Source organism: Homo sapiens, chromosome 10 (assembly GCF_000001405.40).
Source record: "Homo sapiens chromosome 10, GRCh38.p14 Primary Assembly".
In the NCBI taxonomy this organism is placed as follows: Eukaryota; Metazoa; Chordata; class Mammalia; order Primates; family Hominidae; genus Homo; species Homo sapiens.
This window is the reverse complement of record NC_000010.11, coordinates 68,709,215-68,725,262: the sequence shown is the minus strand read 5'-3', so window position 1 is coordinate 68,725,262 and position 16,048 is coordinate 68,709,215. Positions and strand designations below refer to the sequence as shown.

The 16,048-nt window shown below is 47.3% G+C and overlaps 1 protein-coding gene and 1 pseudogene across 4 annotated transcripts in view, besides 4 other annotated features; both read right to left on the bottom strand.

Moving 5' to 3' along the window:
• CCAR1 (cell division cycle and apoptosis regulator 1) overlaps positions 1-4,024 on the bottom strand; it is a 71,139-nt gene extending 67,115 nt beyond the window's left edge. For 2 of the 4 annotated variants that reach the window (NR_104262.2, NM_001282959.2), the window contains exons 1-2: positions 3,975-4,024; positions 2,686-2,808 (exon numbers count right to left, since the gene is read on the bottom strand). Coding sequence is in view for 3 of the 4 variants with exons in the window: in NM_001282959.2 (NP_001269888.1) it covers positions 2,686-2,758 (73 nt within the window). In the remaining variant the exon portion in view is untranslated. The remainder of the gene's footprint in view (positions 1-2,685; positions 2,809-3,974) is intronic. The other 2 variants (NM_018237.4, NM_001282960.2) reach the window with 1 other exon arrangement.
• Positions 3,668-3,797: a silencer, noted in NCBI's record as "silent region_2421". NCBI's record gives its function as "represses an Ori minimal core promoter by ATAC-STARR-seq in GM12878 lymphoblastoid cells {active_cell/tissue: GM12878}" and the evidence as "EXISTENCE:reporter gene assay evidence [ECO:0000049][PMID:35858748]".
• Positions 3,668-3,891: a biological region, named in NCBI's record as "ATAC-STARR-seq lymphoblastoid silent region 2421".
• Positions 3,722-3,891: an enhancer, noted in NCBI's record as "experimental_16840 CRE fragment used in MPRA reporter constructs". NCBI's record gives its function as "activates a minimal promoter by MPRAs in K562 erythroleukemia cells, with activity observed for both the introgressed and non-introgressed 10:70481214 variant alleles {active_cell/tissue: K562}" and the evidence as "EXISTENCE:reporter gene assay evidence [ECO:0000049][PMID:34662402]".
• Positions 7,157-7,326: an enhancer, noted in NCBI's record as "experimental_16833 CRE fragment used in MPRA reporter constructs". NCBI's record gives its function as "activates a minimal promoter by MPRAs in K562 erythroleukemia cells, with activity observed for the non-introgressed 10:70477779 variant allele {active_cell/tissue: K562}" and the evidence as "EXISTENCE:reporter gene assay evidence [ECO:0000049][PMID:34662402]".
• LOC124902592 (uncharacterized) lies at positions 12,208-12,305 on the bottom strand (annotated as a pseudogene).
• Positions 12,306-16,048: the final 3,743 nt, after the last annotated feature.

The following is a 16,048-nucleotide window of genomic DNA, read 5'->3' as shown; positions in this document are numbered from 1 at the left end:
CGAACTCCCGACCTCAGTGATATGCCCACCTCCGCCTCCCAAAGTGCTGCACCGGGCCTTGTTGACTTTATTTTGAAAATGTAAATGTTCTTTTACTGCTTTTACAACTATTTTTTTTTTTTGAGACGGAGTTTCTCTCGTTGCCCAGGCTAGAGCGCAATGGCGCAATCTGAGCATCTGAGCTCACCGCAACCTCCGCCGGGTTCAAGAGATTTTCCTGCTTCAGCATCCCAAGTAGTTGGGATTACAGACACGTGCCACCACGCCAGGCTACCTTTGTATTTTTAGTAGAGACGGGGTTTCTCCATGTTTGTCAGGCTGGTCTTGAACTCCCAACCTCAGGTGATCTGCCCGCCTTGGCCTCCCAAAGTGCTGGGATTACAGGAGTGAGCCACTGCATCCAGCAGCTTTTACAACTATCTTTTTCCTTTGTCTAGTAACTAAATTCTTTAGAGTTGGTTTTCTTTCTTTTTCTTTACCTTTTTTGAGACCAGGTCTCACTCAGACTGTAGTGCAATGGCACCATCATGGCTCACTGCAACCTTGACCTCCCTGGCTCAAGCAATCCTTCTACCTCAACCTCCCTGAATAGCTAGAACCACAGGTACATAACACCAGGTCCAGGTGATTTTTTTTTTTGAATGTAGTTTTTCAACTTTAAATTCAAACAACTGGCTAGTCCTGGTGGTTCACACCTGTAATCCCAGCACTTTAGGAGGCCAAGATGGGAGGATCGCGTGAGCCCAAAAGTTCAAGATCCACCTGGGTAACAAAGTGAGACCTCCGACTCAATTTTTTTGGGGAGAGTCTCCCTTTATCACCCAGACTGGAGTGTAGCGTTGCGATATCAGCTCACTCAACCTCTGCCTCCCCGGTTCAAGTACTTCTCCTGCCTCAGCCTCATGAGTAGCTGGGATTACAGGCTTGCACAAACACGCCAAGCTAACTTTTATATTTTTTAGGTAGACATAGGATTTCACCATGTCAGCCAGGCTGGTCTCCGAACTCCTGACCTCAGGTGATCTGCCCACCTTGGCCTCCCAAAATGCTGGGATTACAGGCATGAGACACCTCACCTAGCCTAAATACATTTTTTTTTTTTCTGAGACAGAGTTTTGCTCTTGTTGCCCAGGCTGGAGTGCGGTGGTGTGATCTCGGCTCACTGTAACCTCTGCCTCCCACGTTCAAGCGATTCTCCAGCTTCAGCCTCCCAAGTAGTTAGGATTACAGGCATGCACCACCATGCCCAGCCAGTTTTGTATTTTTAGTAGAGACAGGGTTTCTCCATGTTGGTCAGGCTGGTCTTGAACTCCTGACTTCAGGTGATCCACCCACCTCAGCCTCCCAAAGTGCTGGGATTACAGGCACAAGCCACCGCGCCCAGCCTAAATTTACCTTTTTTTTTTTTTCTTTTTGAGATGGAGTCCTGCTCTGTCACCCAGGCTGAAGTGCAGTGGCGCGATCTCAGCTCGCTGCAAGCTTCACCTCCTGGGTTCACGCCATTCTCCTGCCTCAGCATCCCGAGTAACTGGGACTACAGGTGCCTGCCACCATGCCCGACTAATTTTTTGTATTTTTAGTAGAGACGGGGTTACACCATGTAAGCCAGGATGGTCTCGATTTCCTGACCTTGTGATCTGCCCGCCTTGGCCTCCCAAAGTGCTGGGATTACAGGCATGAGTCACCGCGCCCGGCCCATTTACTTTTAAACATAACTCATTAATACTGACAACTTAACATGCCAAATACAGTATATTGTAATGAATGAGTAGCTAAACTCTAACAGAATTAAATCAATTAAAAGTTAATCTAAGGTATTAAAAAACTACAAAACTGCCGGGTGCGGTGGCTTACGCCTGTAATCCCAGCACTTCGGGAGGCCGAGGCGGGCATATCGCAAGGTCAGGAGATCGAGACCATCCTGGCTAAGACGGTGAAACCCCGTCTCTACTAAAAATACAAAAAAAAAAAAAATTAGCCGGGCGTGGTGGCGGGTGCCTGTAGTCCCAGCTACTCAGGAGGCTGAGGCAGGAGAATGGCGTGAACCCGGGAGGCGGAGCTTGCAGTGAGCTGAGATTGCGTCACTGCACTCCAGCCTGGGCGACAGAGCAAGACTCAAAAAAATAAATAAATAAAAATAAAAATAAATAAAAAAATAAATGTTTGGGGAAAAAAAAAACTACAAAACTGTCCAAACTACTATGTAAAACAGCTTGTTAGTTGATCTATGGATTTTTAAAGGAGCTTCACAGAGAAAGTTAATGAATTCACAATTTGCAAACACTTTACAATATCAGAATATCAGAACAGCCTAATTCATGTTGTTTTGTTTTGTTTTTTTGAGACGGAGTATCTCTCTGTCGCCCAGGCTGGAGTGCAGTGGCGCGATCTCAGCTAACTGCAACCTCCACCTCCCGGGTTCAAGGGATTCTCCTGCCTCAGCCTCCTGAGTAGCTAGGATTATGGGCGCGTGCCACCAGGCCCGGCTAATTTTAGTATTTTTAGTAGAGACGGGGTTTCACCATGTTGGCCAGGCTGGTTACGAACTCCTGACCTCGTGATCCACCTCCTCCGCTTCCCAAAGTGCTAGGATAACAGGCGTGAGCCACCACCCCCGGCCCTAATTCACGTAGTTTTAACAAGTCCCCCACAAACAATTACAGTACATGTATTTAGAAGCCTGACCTGGCTGTGATACTGCAGTGGCTGTAAACTGAGTAGCCCATGGCGGATTCTTCTGTCCTCCAAATTGAGCCATGATGCAAAAGGAAAAAAAACCTTCCCTTGTTTGTCTTCTATAGCATCGATCTATCAAGAAAAGGATCCACATTTTAAAGTCCAACCAAGCTACAGATATCACAAAAGGATATTACAATAGAAAGAAATGTTTAATGTGTCGAGGACGTCTTCGCAGATTTCAGCAGAAATAACAACTGTTAAGTAGAAAAAGGGCAAATGAACATCCAAAATGCAGCAAAAACATTTTACATCAAGTAGATCACCAAAAATGCCCTATTTTACAAGATAACATTAGAGGGAGACTCAGAAAAAGCACTCCTTTCTGGGACTACAAGTTGTCACATTTAAACGAAGACCATCTGCTGTATCCACCCAATTGTTAACAAAAAGTTCACAACTTTATATTCACAGGAAATACAGCCTGCGTGTTTCTTCTGGCAATGGGTTGGGGAGTGAGGCCAGGGTAATGTTAAAACCAATAACGGATACTGGGACAAGACCCCCATCACAGGTATTTAAAGATATCATTTAAATAACGAACATCTCTACTTTCCAAAGTAGAAAAGGAACCTAGGGGGCTTCTTTTCCAACCCCGACCTCGAAGGAAAAGGCCGTTGAGATAATGGATGTCCCTTAAAGAACCACTGGGAAAACCCCTCCCCCCAAGATAAACCAGAAAAGGCGAAGATTCTCCGCCCGTGCACCCCCTCCTCGGCCGCCACGACCCTCAAGGGCCAGAGCTCGGCCGTCCATCTTCCTCCAGTCCCAGCTCCGTGCCGGCCGCCGGCGACGGAAGGCGGAACCCACCGCCCCACGACACTCGATGGCTCCCGAGAGCCCTGGGCTCGTTTACCACGCACGGAGAAAGCCTCTATTCCCCAAGACCCACGCCGCCGGGAGCCGCCACGATGTCCCGGGCCGGGGGGCCAGGAGGGTAAAACCGCAGCGGCTCGGGAGCAATGGGGCGGCGGACTGCAGCGTCGCCATGCCGAGGCTGAGGGGCGCTGGGGGCACCTGAGGAGCCGAGCGGTGGGGGTGGGGCTGGCCGCGCCGGGCCTGCTCCGACCCGCACAAAAGGGACCGCGTCCCTCCCGTCCCAGTCCCACAAGAGCCCCACCGTCGCCGCCCGGGGCCGCCGGGCTACCCAAAAGATCGCTCCCGGCCCTTCCACAGATTCGACAAGATGTTAAGAGACCCGGCTTGGCCGCCCACTGCTCCAACTACGGGGACCAGACCTTCACCTGAGTCGGGTCCCGGCTAACATCGAAGCCATTTCAAACCCGTCAGCTTTAGGCGCATGCGCCAACTTCCCCCTCTTCCTCCACGCCGCCCCCCTCCTCCACATCTCCCGGAGGAACGGCGCTTACTGGCTGACGTTCTGCGTGCGCGCTCCCCTGACCGCTCAATACGCCTGGCCCTTTCGCTACGAAAGGGGAAATAGAGCGCGCCTAAGGGTTGCCTTGGCCTCGCTTAACAATGAGCGGGGCTATATGTCTTGCGCTTGCTCTGAAGGAAGGGCTTTCCTTTGGGTGGGAAGGAAAGAAATGGCGGTCACGTGATCCGATCCAGCCCGCCGCCATTTTATGTTTAACCTTTTTTTTTTAACCTCGTTCCATTATTTGAGAGAAAGGATATGCCCCGTAACATTCTTTTTTTAAATTATTATTATACTTTAAGTTATAGGGTACATGTGCACAACGTGCAGGTTTGTTACATATGTATACATGTGCCATGTTGGTGTGCTGCACCCGTTAAGTCGTCATTTACATGACGTATCTCTCCTAATGCTATCCCTCCCCCCTCCCCCCACCCCACGACAGGCCCCGGTGTGTGATGTTCCCCACCCTGTGTCCAAGTGTTCTCATTGTTCACTTCCCACCTATGAGAGAACATGCGGTGTTTGGTTTTCTGTCCTTGCGATACTTTACTCAGAATGATGGTTTCGCCGGGCGCGGTGGCTCACGCCTGTAATCCCAGCACTTTGGGAGGCCGAGGCGGGCGGATCACGAGGTCAGGAGATCGAGACCATACTGGCTAACATGGTGAAACCCCATCTCTACTAAAAATACAAAAAAATTAGCCGGGTGTGGTGGCAGGCGCCTGTAGTCCCAGCTACTCAGGAGGCTGAGGCGGGAGAATGGCGTGAACCCGGGAAGTGGAGCTTGCAGTGAGCCGAGATCGCGCCACTGCACTCCAGCCCTGGCAATAGAGTGAGACTCCGACTCAAAAAAAAAAAAAAAAATGGTTTCTAGCTTCATCCATGTCCTCCCTACAAAGGACAAGAACTCAACCTTTTTTATGGCTGCATGGTATTCCATGGTGTATATGTGCCACATTTTCTTAATCCAGTCTATCACTGATGGACATTTGGGTTAGTTCCAAGACTTTGCTATTGTGGATAGTGCCACTATAAACATACGTGTGCATGTGTCTTTATAGCAGCATGATTTATAATCCTTTGGGTATATGCCCAGTAATGGGATGGCTGGGTCAAATGGTATTTCTAGTTCTAGATCCTTGAGGAATCGCCACACTGTCTTCCACAATAGTTGAACTAGTTATACCCTGTAACATTCTTAACTCGTCTTAAAAATTGACATAAAATTTACTTAACATACAATTCACTATTTAAAATATCTTAAAGCACAATTCAGGCTGGGCACGGTGGCTCACGCCTGTAATCCCAGCCCTTTGGGAGGCCGAGGCAGGTGGATCACCTGAGGTCAGGAGTTCAAGACCAGTCTGGCCAACAAAGTGAAACCCCACCTCTACTAAAAATACAAAAATTAGCCAGGCGTGGTGGCGCATGCCTATAATCCCGCTACTCAGGGGGCTGAGGCAGGAGAATTGCTTGAACCCAGGAGGCGGAGGTTGCAGTGAGCTGAGATAACGCCATTGCACTCCAGCCTGGGCAACAAAAGCAACATTCCATCTCAAAAAAAAAGTACAATTCAGTGGCTTTTAGTATAGTCATAAGGTTGTGCAACCATCCCTACCACTACTTCAAGAACCTTTATATCACCAGAAAAAGAAACCCATACCTGTTAAGCAACAGCCCCCTAATCCCTGCTCTTCCCAGTCTCAGTCAACCACTAACATTTCTGTGTCTTAGACATTTCCTATAAATAGGATCATACAATATGTGGCCTTTTATGTGTTGGTTTTCTTTGTTTTAGCACATTGATTTCAGGGTTCATCCATGTTGTGGCATGTATCAGAACTCATTCCATTTTATGGCTAACATTGCGCTTTCTTTCTTTCTCTTTCTTTCTTTCTTCTCTTTTTTTTTCTTTCCTTTCTTTCTTCTTTCTCTTTTTGAGGCGGAGTCTCGCTCTGTCCCCCAGGCTGGAGTGCAGTGGCGCAATCTCGGCTCACTGCAAGCTCCGCCTCCCGGGTTCACGCCGTTCTCCTGCCTCAGCCTCCGGAGTAGCTGTGGCTACAGGCGCCCGCCGCCACGCCCGGCTAATTTTTTGTACTTTTAGTAGAGACGGGGTTTCACCATGTTAGCCAGGATGGTCTCGATCTCCTGACCTCGTGATCCACCCGCCTCGGCCTCCCAAAGTATTGGGATTAAAGACGTGAGCCACCGCGCCCGGCCACATTGCGCATTCTTTAATATTTTTTCCAAATTTAAGGAATCTTTCTATTTTCTCTTAAGCTATCTATAGCTTACAGCAATTTGGTAAAATATACCATTGTGAACAAAGATAAAACTTATTTTTTTCTCCCTATCTGATCCCTCCAGAATTCAGAAACTATTAGTATTCTTATTTTCATGACAGTATAGTAATACGCATAAATTCAATATGAATTTGATAACCTTGTAGCACTACACAATTAGAGACATTGGTTTTATTGCCAAGACTTTAACCCATATGTCATATTTTCAAATATGATCAGACAACTTAAAAAAAATAAGCTTCACTTTATGGAGCCAATAAGGTCTGGCTTTTAAGTGAGTAAGGGATGTCACTTTCTGGCAGGCTCAGAAACCTTAAGATGCTTTGGGGCTTAAGATACTTTAGCCTCTTAAGAGGAATTCACCCAAATCCATAGGTATTGCAAGCAAAATCTGATGGCAGGTCCTTGGCTGGGCTTCATACCCTTAAAGGGCTTTTTTATTTTATTTATTTATTCATTTATTTTTTGAGACGGAGTCTCACTCTGTCTCCCAGGCTGGAGTGCAGTGGCGCGACCTCGGCTCACTGCAAGCTCCGCCCCCCGGGTTCACGCCATTCTCGGGCCTCAGCCTCTCAAGTAGCTAGAACTACAGGCACCCGCCACTGCGCCCGCCACCATGCCTGGCTAATTAGTTTTTGTACTTTTAGTAGAGACAGAGTTTCTCTACTAAAAGAAAAACCAGTGTTTTTAGTGTTAGCCAGAGTGGTCTCGATCTCCTAACCTCGTGATCCGCCCGCCTCGGCCTCCCAAAGTGCTGGGATTACAGGCGTGAGCCACCGCGCTTGGCCAAAGGGCTTTTAAAAGTCCAATTTGAGAGATATGTTCCTTCGTTTATTCCTTTCCCTATGAACCCACTGAGGAAGAATCCTGAAAGTCTCTCTTCTGGACAAGCACAGTGGCTCACACCTGTAATCCCAACACTTTGAGAGGCTGACGTGGGAGGATTGCTTGAAGCCGAAAGTTCAACACCAGCCTAGGCAACATAGCAAGACCCTTGTCTCTATTTTTAAAAATTAAAATTAAACTCTCTCTTTTCATTGTCATTGTGAGCCTGAACACCTATGGAAGCTCTTCAGCAGAGGACTGGGCTTTGAAACAACTGATAAAATTAGCTGGGTGTGATGGCATGACCTGTAATCCCAGCTACTCCAGAGGCTGAGGCAGGAGAATCACTTGAACCCAAGAGGCGGAGGTTGCAGTGAGCCAAGATCGCACCCTTGCACTCCAGCCTGGGCGACAGAGCAAGACTCCTTCTAAGAAAAGGGGGAGGAGAGGGGAGAGAAGGGGAGGGGAGGGGAGAGGAGGGGAGGGGAGGGGGAAGGGGAGGGGGAACTGGTGAGAGAGCCTGAGGAGCCATTTTAAACAATGGGGAGCACTCAGATTGTGTAGTAATGAGAGATCCAAACACCAAACAGTCCAGGGGCTTTCAGTTTGTCATGTATGCCACTGTGAAGACGGTGGATACAACATGAATGCAAGGTCACACAAGGAGGATGGAAGAATTGTGGAGCCGAAGAAAGCTGTCCTAAGATTCTCAGATTCTTAAGATTCTGGCCAGGGGTGGTGGCTCACGCCTGTAACCCCAGCACTTTGGAAAGCCAAGGTGGGCATATCGTCTAAAGTCAGGAGTTCGAGACCAGCCTGGCCAACGTGGCAAAACCCCGTCTCTACTAAAAAAAAACAAAAAATTAGCCGGGTGTGGTAGTGGGCACATGTAATCCCAGCTACTTGGGAGGCTGAGGCAAGGGAATCGCTTAAACCTGGGAGGCAGAGGTTGCAGTGAAGCGAGATCACACCATTGCACTTCAGCCTGGGTAACAGAGTGAGACTCTCAAAAAAATAATAATAAAAATAAAAAGCCTAAGATCAAAATCAATCACTATTCTTGCTATACTTATGTAAATAATGAGGTCAAGTTTAATGACTAGACTTACTTTGCAAACAAGTCAGCCTTTGATCATCTTTAATAAAAATAACGGTGATTTTAGAGACAATATAGTTTCAATGGAAAACTATAGAACATCCTCGTGATTATCAAGTTCTAGTCTTGGCCAGGCACAGTGGCTCATGCCTGTAATCGCAGCACTTTGGGAAGCCGAGGTGGGCGGATCACCTGAGGTCGGGAGTTCAAGACCAGCCTGACCAACATGGTGAAACCCTGTCTGTACTAAAAATACAAAATTAGCTGGGCGTGGTGGCAGGTGCCTGTAATCCCAGCTACTCGGGAGGCTGAGGCAGGAGAATTGCTTGAACCCAGGAGGCAGAGGTTGCAGTGAGCTGAGATCGTGCTGTTGCACTCCAGCCTGGGCAACAATAGCGAAACTCCGTCTCATAAAAAAAAAAAAAATTCTAGTCTTGTTCATCGTCTTAGAGGTCTATCTGCGGACTGACCTGGATCCTAAATTCTTCTAGTTTCCTTCAGTATCTGGCTATGACTCTCCAAACTATTATTTCCAATTTTTTTTTCCACCCTTATGGCTTAGAGTCACAAAATATTAAAACTGCTCATTTTCCCAGCGCCTTGCTAGCCGAAGCTGGAAAATGTGATATAAACTTAAAAGAAATCAACTTTGTGCATGCTACTGGGTGGACCAATCAGAAACTTCATCAGAAACACCAAATGTCATTACCAGAGACATTCAAACCATAAACCAGGAAATCCATTGGGTTGCTATCCTCAAGCCCAACATCTAAAAATCTTATTGACTCACTGCCCTCTAGATTCAGAAACTGGGTTTCTATTAATCGTTATTTTTCTTTATTTTCATAGAAATTCCCCCTTGTTAAATTCTTGACCGCTAACAATCCGGTGAATATTCTCTGCTACCAAGGCCCAACAGATGATTCAGCTGGTCCTTAAAGAATAAAAGGTGATTGAATGAAAAAACAGACTTAAATTGTGCAAAGGAAAGAAAAGAGAAGAGACTAGCCTGGGCAACATGGCAAGACCCCATCTCTACAAAAAAAAAACAAAAACAAAAATTAGCCAGGTGTGGTGGCATGCACCCTGTAGTACCAGCTATTCTGGAGGCTGAGGTAGGAGGATCACTTGAGCCTGAGAGACGGAGGTTGCAGTGAGCCTAGATGGCGTCACTGCACTCTGGTCTGGGTGACAGAGTGACACCCTGTCTCAAAAAAAAAAAGGAAAAAGGAAGGAAAGAAAAAAGAAAGGGAGGGAGGGAAAGAAAGAGAGAGGAAAGAAGGAAGGAAGGGAGAGAGGGAGGGAGTAGGGAAGGAAGGAAGGTTAGTTGATTGGGAGGCCAAGGCAGGTGGATCACCTGAGGTCAGGAGTTCGAGACCAGCCTGGCCAACATGGTGAAATCCCGTCTCTACTAAAAATGCAAAAATAAGCCAGGCATGGTGGCATGCACCTGTAGTCCCAGCTGCTCCAGAGGCTGAGGCAGGAGAATCCTTTGAACCCGGGAAGTGGAGGTTGCAGTGTGCTGAGATTGTGCCACTGCACTCCAGCCTGGGTGACAGAGCGAGACTCTGTCTCAAAAAAAAAAAAAAAAAAAAAAAAGCAAGATAAGAGACTGACAGACATTCTCTGCTTGACCAAACTTTAGTCAGGCTCCTCACCTTGACCTAGGCCCACCTGTGCACTTAAAACCCACTTTTACTTGTATTTACCGTTTTTTGAAAGATAGGGTCTTCGCATGGTGCCCAGGCTGGTATGCAGTGGCTATTCACAGGTGCAATCATAGCACACTGTAGTCTCAAACTCCTGGCCTCAGGCATTCCTCTGGACTTAGCCTCCTGAGTAGCTGGGACTAAAAGTGTGCACCACTGTACCCAGCTAAAATCTAGTTTTAGCAAAGAACCCTGTTAAGTAAGTTTGTCAAGAGCTCCCCCAACCCTTTTTTTTTTTTTTTTGAGACATAGTGTCACTCTGTAGCCCAGGCCGGAGTGCAGTGGCGTGATCTCAGCTCACTGCAACCTCTGCCTCCTGGTTTCAAGCAATTCTCATGTCTCAGCTTCCCGAGTAGCTGGAATTATAGGCACACACCACCATTCCCAGCTAATTTTTGTATTTTTAGCAGAGACAGGGTTTCACCATGTTGGCCAGGCTGGTCTCGAACTCCTGACCTCAAGTGATCTGCCCGGCTCAGCCTCCCAAAGTGCTGGGATTACAGGCATGAGACACCGCGCCCAGCCCAAGAACCCCCTACATTTGATATCTAATCACCCTCAATATCTGGTCAAGTTCCTCATCCTCCACCAACCACTAGAGTGATGTCTCATCACCTCCACCTGTCTTCAGCAAGAATCCTGTTGAATGAGTTTAGTCAGAATCCCCGGACTCTGATGTTACCTGTTAGTAATGTTCTTTTCTTTTCTTTTCTTTTTTTTTTTTTTTTTTTTTTTTTTTTTGAGACAGAGTCTCGCTCTGTGGCCCAGGTGGGAGTGCAGTGGCGCAATCTCGGCTCACTGCAAGCTCCGCCTCCCGGGTTCACGCCATTCTCCTGCCTCAGCCTCCCGAGTAGCTGGGACTACAAGCACCCGCCATCACGCCCGGCTAATTTTTTTTGTATTTTTAGTAGAGACGGGGTTTCACCGTGTTAGCCAGGATGGTCTCGATCTTCTGACCTCGTGATCCGCCCGCCTCGGCCTCCCAAAGTGCTGGGATTACAAGCGTGAGCCACCGCGCCCGGCCCTTTTCTTTTCTTTTTTGAGACAAAGTTTCACTCTGTCACCCAGGCAGCAGTGCTCGAGTGCAGTGGCAAGATCACGGCTCATTGCGGCCTTGATCTGCTAGATTCGAGAAATCTGTCCACCTCAGCCTCCCAAGTGGCTAGGACTGCAAGCGTGTGCCACCACGCCTGGCTGATTTTTGCAATAATTTTTTTGTAGAGATGGGGATCTCACTTTGTTGCTTAGGCGGGTCACGAACTCTAGCCTCAAGCAATCCTCCTGCCTCACCCTCCCAAAGTGCTAGGATTACAGATGTGAGCCTGGCCCTTAGTAATTTTCTATCCACTGACCCTAAACTGCTCCTTGGCTATAAATTCCCCCGTGCCCATGTTGTATTCAGAGTTTAGGCCAACTCTGTTCCCCACTGTAAAATCCCACTGTAGTGGTCCCTATACATAATCATAATGGTCCCAAGTAAAGTCTTCCTTATCATGCTTTAACAAATGTCACTGATTTTTCTTCTTTTTCTTTTAATTTTTTTTTTTTTTTTTTTGAGATAGTGTCTCACTCTGTCACCCAGGCTGGAGTGCAGTGGTGTGATCTCGGCTCACTGCAACCTCCACGTCCCGGGTTCAAGCGATTCTCCTGCCTCAGGCTCCTGAGTAGCTGGGACTACAGGCGCCCGCCACCACACCCGGCTAATTTTTGTATTTTTAGTAGAGATGGGGTTTCACCATATTGGCCAGGCTGGTCTCAAACTCCTGACCTCGTGATCTGCCCACCTTGGCCTCTCAAAGTGTTGGGATTACAGGCATGAGCCACTGCGCCCGGCCTCTTTTTTTTTTTTTTTTTTATGTAATATACAGACTTTTTTTTTTTTTTTTTTTGAGATGGAGTATTTGCTCTTGTTGCCCAAGCTGGAGTGCAATGGCGCAATCTTGGCTCATTGCAACCTCCGCCTCCCGGGTTCAAGTGATTCTCTGCCTCAGCCTCACGAGTAGCTGGGATTACAGGCATGCACCACCACGCACGGCTAATTTTGTATTTTTAGTAGAAATATGGGTTCTCCATGTTGGTCAGCCTGGTCTCGAACTCCCAACCTCAGGTGTTCCGCACGTCTCGGCCTCCCAAAGTGCTGGGATTACAGGCATGAGCCACCGCACCCGGCAATATACCGACATTGTAAAAAGGCTTGAGTGATACACATCTCACACATGAAAACTCAACCATCACAATTATGACTACAAACAGATAAAAAAAAACTTTTCTTTAACACAATAGATATACCACATTTTGCTTATCCACTCATTAGTTCATCTATTAAGTTTTTCTACTTTGGGGCTAGTATGAATAATGCTGCTGTGAGTTGAAGGAAACCAGAATATGTCATCACAAAACATGCCTCTTTGACGTAACAATTACTTTGAGCTGAAGGCAATTAATAGCTTGTAGAAAAGATAATACTGCCTAGGCGCTGTGGCTCACACCTGTAATCCCAGCACTTTGGGAGGCTGAGGCAGGCGGATCATGAGGTCAGGAGTTTGAGACCAGCCTGACCAACATGGTGAAAACCCATCTCTACTAAAAATACAAAAATTAGCTGGACTTGGTGACGCACACCTGTAATCCCAGCTACTTAGGAGGCTGAGGCAGGAGAATGGCTTGAGCCCAGGAGGCGGAGGTTGCAGTGAGCTGAGATCACGCCACTGCACTCCAGCCTGGGCAACAGAATGAGACTCCATCTCAAAAAAAAAAAAAGTTAATACTAAAAAAATTACCAAAATAATAATAATATATATATATATATTTTGAGATGGAGTTACACTCCTGTTGCCCAGGCTGGAGTGCAATGGTGTGATCTCAGAACACTGCAATCTTTACCTCCCGGGGTTCAGGTAATTCTCTTGCCTCAGCATCCCAAGTAGCTGGGGTTACAGGTGTGTGCGACCACGCTCGGCTAATTTTTGGTATTTGTAGTAGAGACAGGGTTTCACCATGTTGGCCAGGCTGGTCTCCTACTCTGGTCCTCAGGTTATCCACCCGCTTCAGCCTCCCACAGTGCTGGGATTACAGGTGTAAGCCGCCATGCCTGGCCAATAATAATAATTTTCTTTTTCTTTTTGGGACGGACTCTCGCTGTGTTGCCCAAGCTGGAGTTCAGTGGTACGATCTCAGCTCTCAGCTCACTGCAACCTCCACCTCCCGGGTTCAAGTGATTCTTCTGCCTTAGCTTCCTGAATAGCTGAGACTACAGGCGCGCGCCACGACACCCGGCTAATTTTTTGTATTTTTACTAGAGACGGTTTCACCATGTTGGCCAGGCTGGTCTCAAACTCCCGACCTCGTGATCCACCCACCTCAGCCTCCAAAAGTGCTGGGATTACAGGCATGAGCCACCATCTCGGCAATAATTTTTTTAAAAAAGCCAATTAAGAATACAAAATTAGCCAGGCGTGGTGCATGTCTGTAATCCCAGCTACTCGGGAGGCTGAGGCAGGAGAATTGTTTGAACCCAGGAGGCGGAGGTTGCGGTGAGCCGAGATCGTGCCATTGCACTCCAGCCTGGGCAACTGGGCAACAAGAGCAAAACTCCGTCTCAAAAAAAAAAAAAAAAAAAAAAGGCAATTAAGAAACCGGAAAATTAGCTAGGCGGGGTGGCTCACACCTGTAATCCCAGCACTCTGGGAGGCTGCAGTGGGTGAATCCCTTGAATCCAGGAGTTTGAGACCAGTGTAAGTGACATGGAGAAACCTGTCTCTACAAAAATGCCAGGCTCGGTGGCTCACGCCTGTAGTGCCAACACTTTGGGAAGCCGAGGCAGGTAGATCACCTGAGGTTGGGAGTTCGAGACCAGCCTGACCAACATGGAGATACCCCCATCTCTACTAAAAATACAAAATTAGGGCCGGGTGCAGTGGCTCACGCCTGTAATCCCAGCACTTTGGGAGGCCGAGGCGGACGGATCACGAGGTCAGGAGATTGAGACCATCCTGTCTTAACATGGTGAAACCCCGTCTCTACTAAAAATACAAAAAATTAGCCGGGTGTGGTGGTGGGCGCCTGTAGTCCCAGCTACTCGGGAGGCTGAGGCAGGAGAATGGTGTGAACCTGGGAGGCGGAGCTTGCAGTGAGCCGAGATCGCCCACTGCACTCCAGCCTGGGCGACAGAGCTAGACTCTATCTCAAAAAAAAAAAAGAAAAAAAAAGTACAAAATTAGCCGGGCATGGTGGCGCATGCCTGTAATCCCAACTGCTCAGGAGGCTGAAGCAGGAGAATCGCTTGAACTGGGGAAGTCAGAGGTGAGGTTGCGGTGAGCTGAGATCACACCATTGCACTCTAGCCTGGGCAACAAGAGTGAAACACCATCTCAAAAAAAAAAAAAAAAAAAATCAGCCAAATGTAGTGGCAGGTGCCTTTAGTCCCAGCTACTTGGGAGGCTGAGGCCATGACATGGCTTGAGCCCAGGAGGCAGAGGTTGCTGTGATCTGAGATCATGCTGCTGCACTCCAGCCTGGGAGGCACAGTCAAACCCTGATTCCAAAAAAAAAAAAAAAAAAGAAGAAGAAGAAAGGGCCAGGTGCGGTGGCTCACGCCTGTAATCCCAGCACTTTGGGAGGCCGAGGTGGGCAGATCACGAGGTCAGGAGATCAAGACCATCCTGGCTAACACGGTGAAACCCCGTCTCTACTAAAAATAAAAAAAAAAAAAAATAGCCGGGCGTAGTAGCGGGTGACTGTAGTCCCAGCTACTTGGGAGGCTGAGGCAGGCGAATGGCGTGAACCCGGGAGGCAGAGCGTGCAGTGAGCCGAGATTGCGCCACTGCACTCCAGCCTGGGCAACAGAGCGAGACTCCGTCTCAAAAAAAAAAAAAAAAAGAAGAAGAAAGAAGAAGGAGGAGGAGGAGAAAAAAAAGAAGAAGAAAACAAAAAATCAGTGAACTTCACAAACTTTACCTAGAATGACCATCGGGGAAAAAAAAAAGAAGGTCGCCCAAATAACTAGAATCAGAAATGAGTGAGGACATTACTACTGACCTTACAGAAATAAAAAGGGAAAAAAAATACTATTAACAGTTGTAATGCTATAAATGAGATAACTTAGAAAAGATCAAATTTCTAACATTTCGTCATGTTGCCCAGGCTGGTCTTGAACTCCTGAGCTCAAGCAATCTGCCCGTCTTAGCCTCCCAAAGTGCTGCAATTTCAGGCGTGAGCCACCATGCCCAGTCTGATCTTTTCAAAGAGCCAACTTTTTGATTTGCTGATTCTCTCTGTTGTTTTTCTACCTTCTATTTTATGAATTTCCACTCTGATCATTATTTGCTTCCTTTCTGACCTCTTGATCCTATTTTGGGTTTATTTTTATCTTCTTTCTTCCTTAAAATGAAATGCATCTCACAGTCTGTAACATGATAAAAGTGACAGCAATTTTTTACTGTGGTTTATAAAATGCATCTTAGAATGAAGTGAATATGGCAAATATCCTTTTCTCCCCGTTTTTACACAAGTACTATATCTTGCTTTTTAAATAATATATCTTAGAAAATGTTCCATGTTCCAGCATGGGGTACATGGCAAAATCCTGTCTCTACTAAACATACAAAAATTAGCTAGGGCTGGGTGCATTGTCTCATGTCTGTAATCCTGGCACTTTGGGAGGCCTAGGCAGACAGATGACCTGAGGTCAGGGGTTCAAGAACAGTCTGTCCAACATGGTGAAAACCCGTCTCTACTAAAAATACAAAATTTAGCCAGGCATGGTGGCGGGCACCTGTAGTCCCAGCTACTCAGGGGGCTAAGGCAGAAGAATCGCTTTAACCCAGGAGGCGGAGGCTGCAGTGAGCCAAGATTGGGCCACTGCACTCCAGCCTGGGTGACAAAGCGAAACTCCGTCTCAAAAAATAAAATAAAATAAAATAAAGTAGGGGTGGTGGTGCATGTCTGTAATCCCAGCTACTCGGGAAGCTGAGGCACAAGAATCACTCAATCCTGGTAG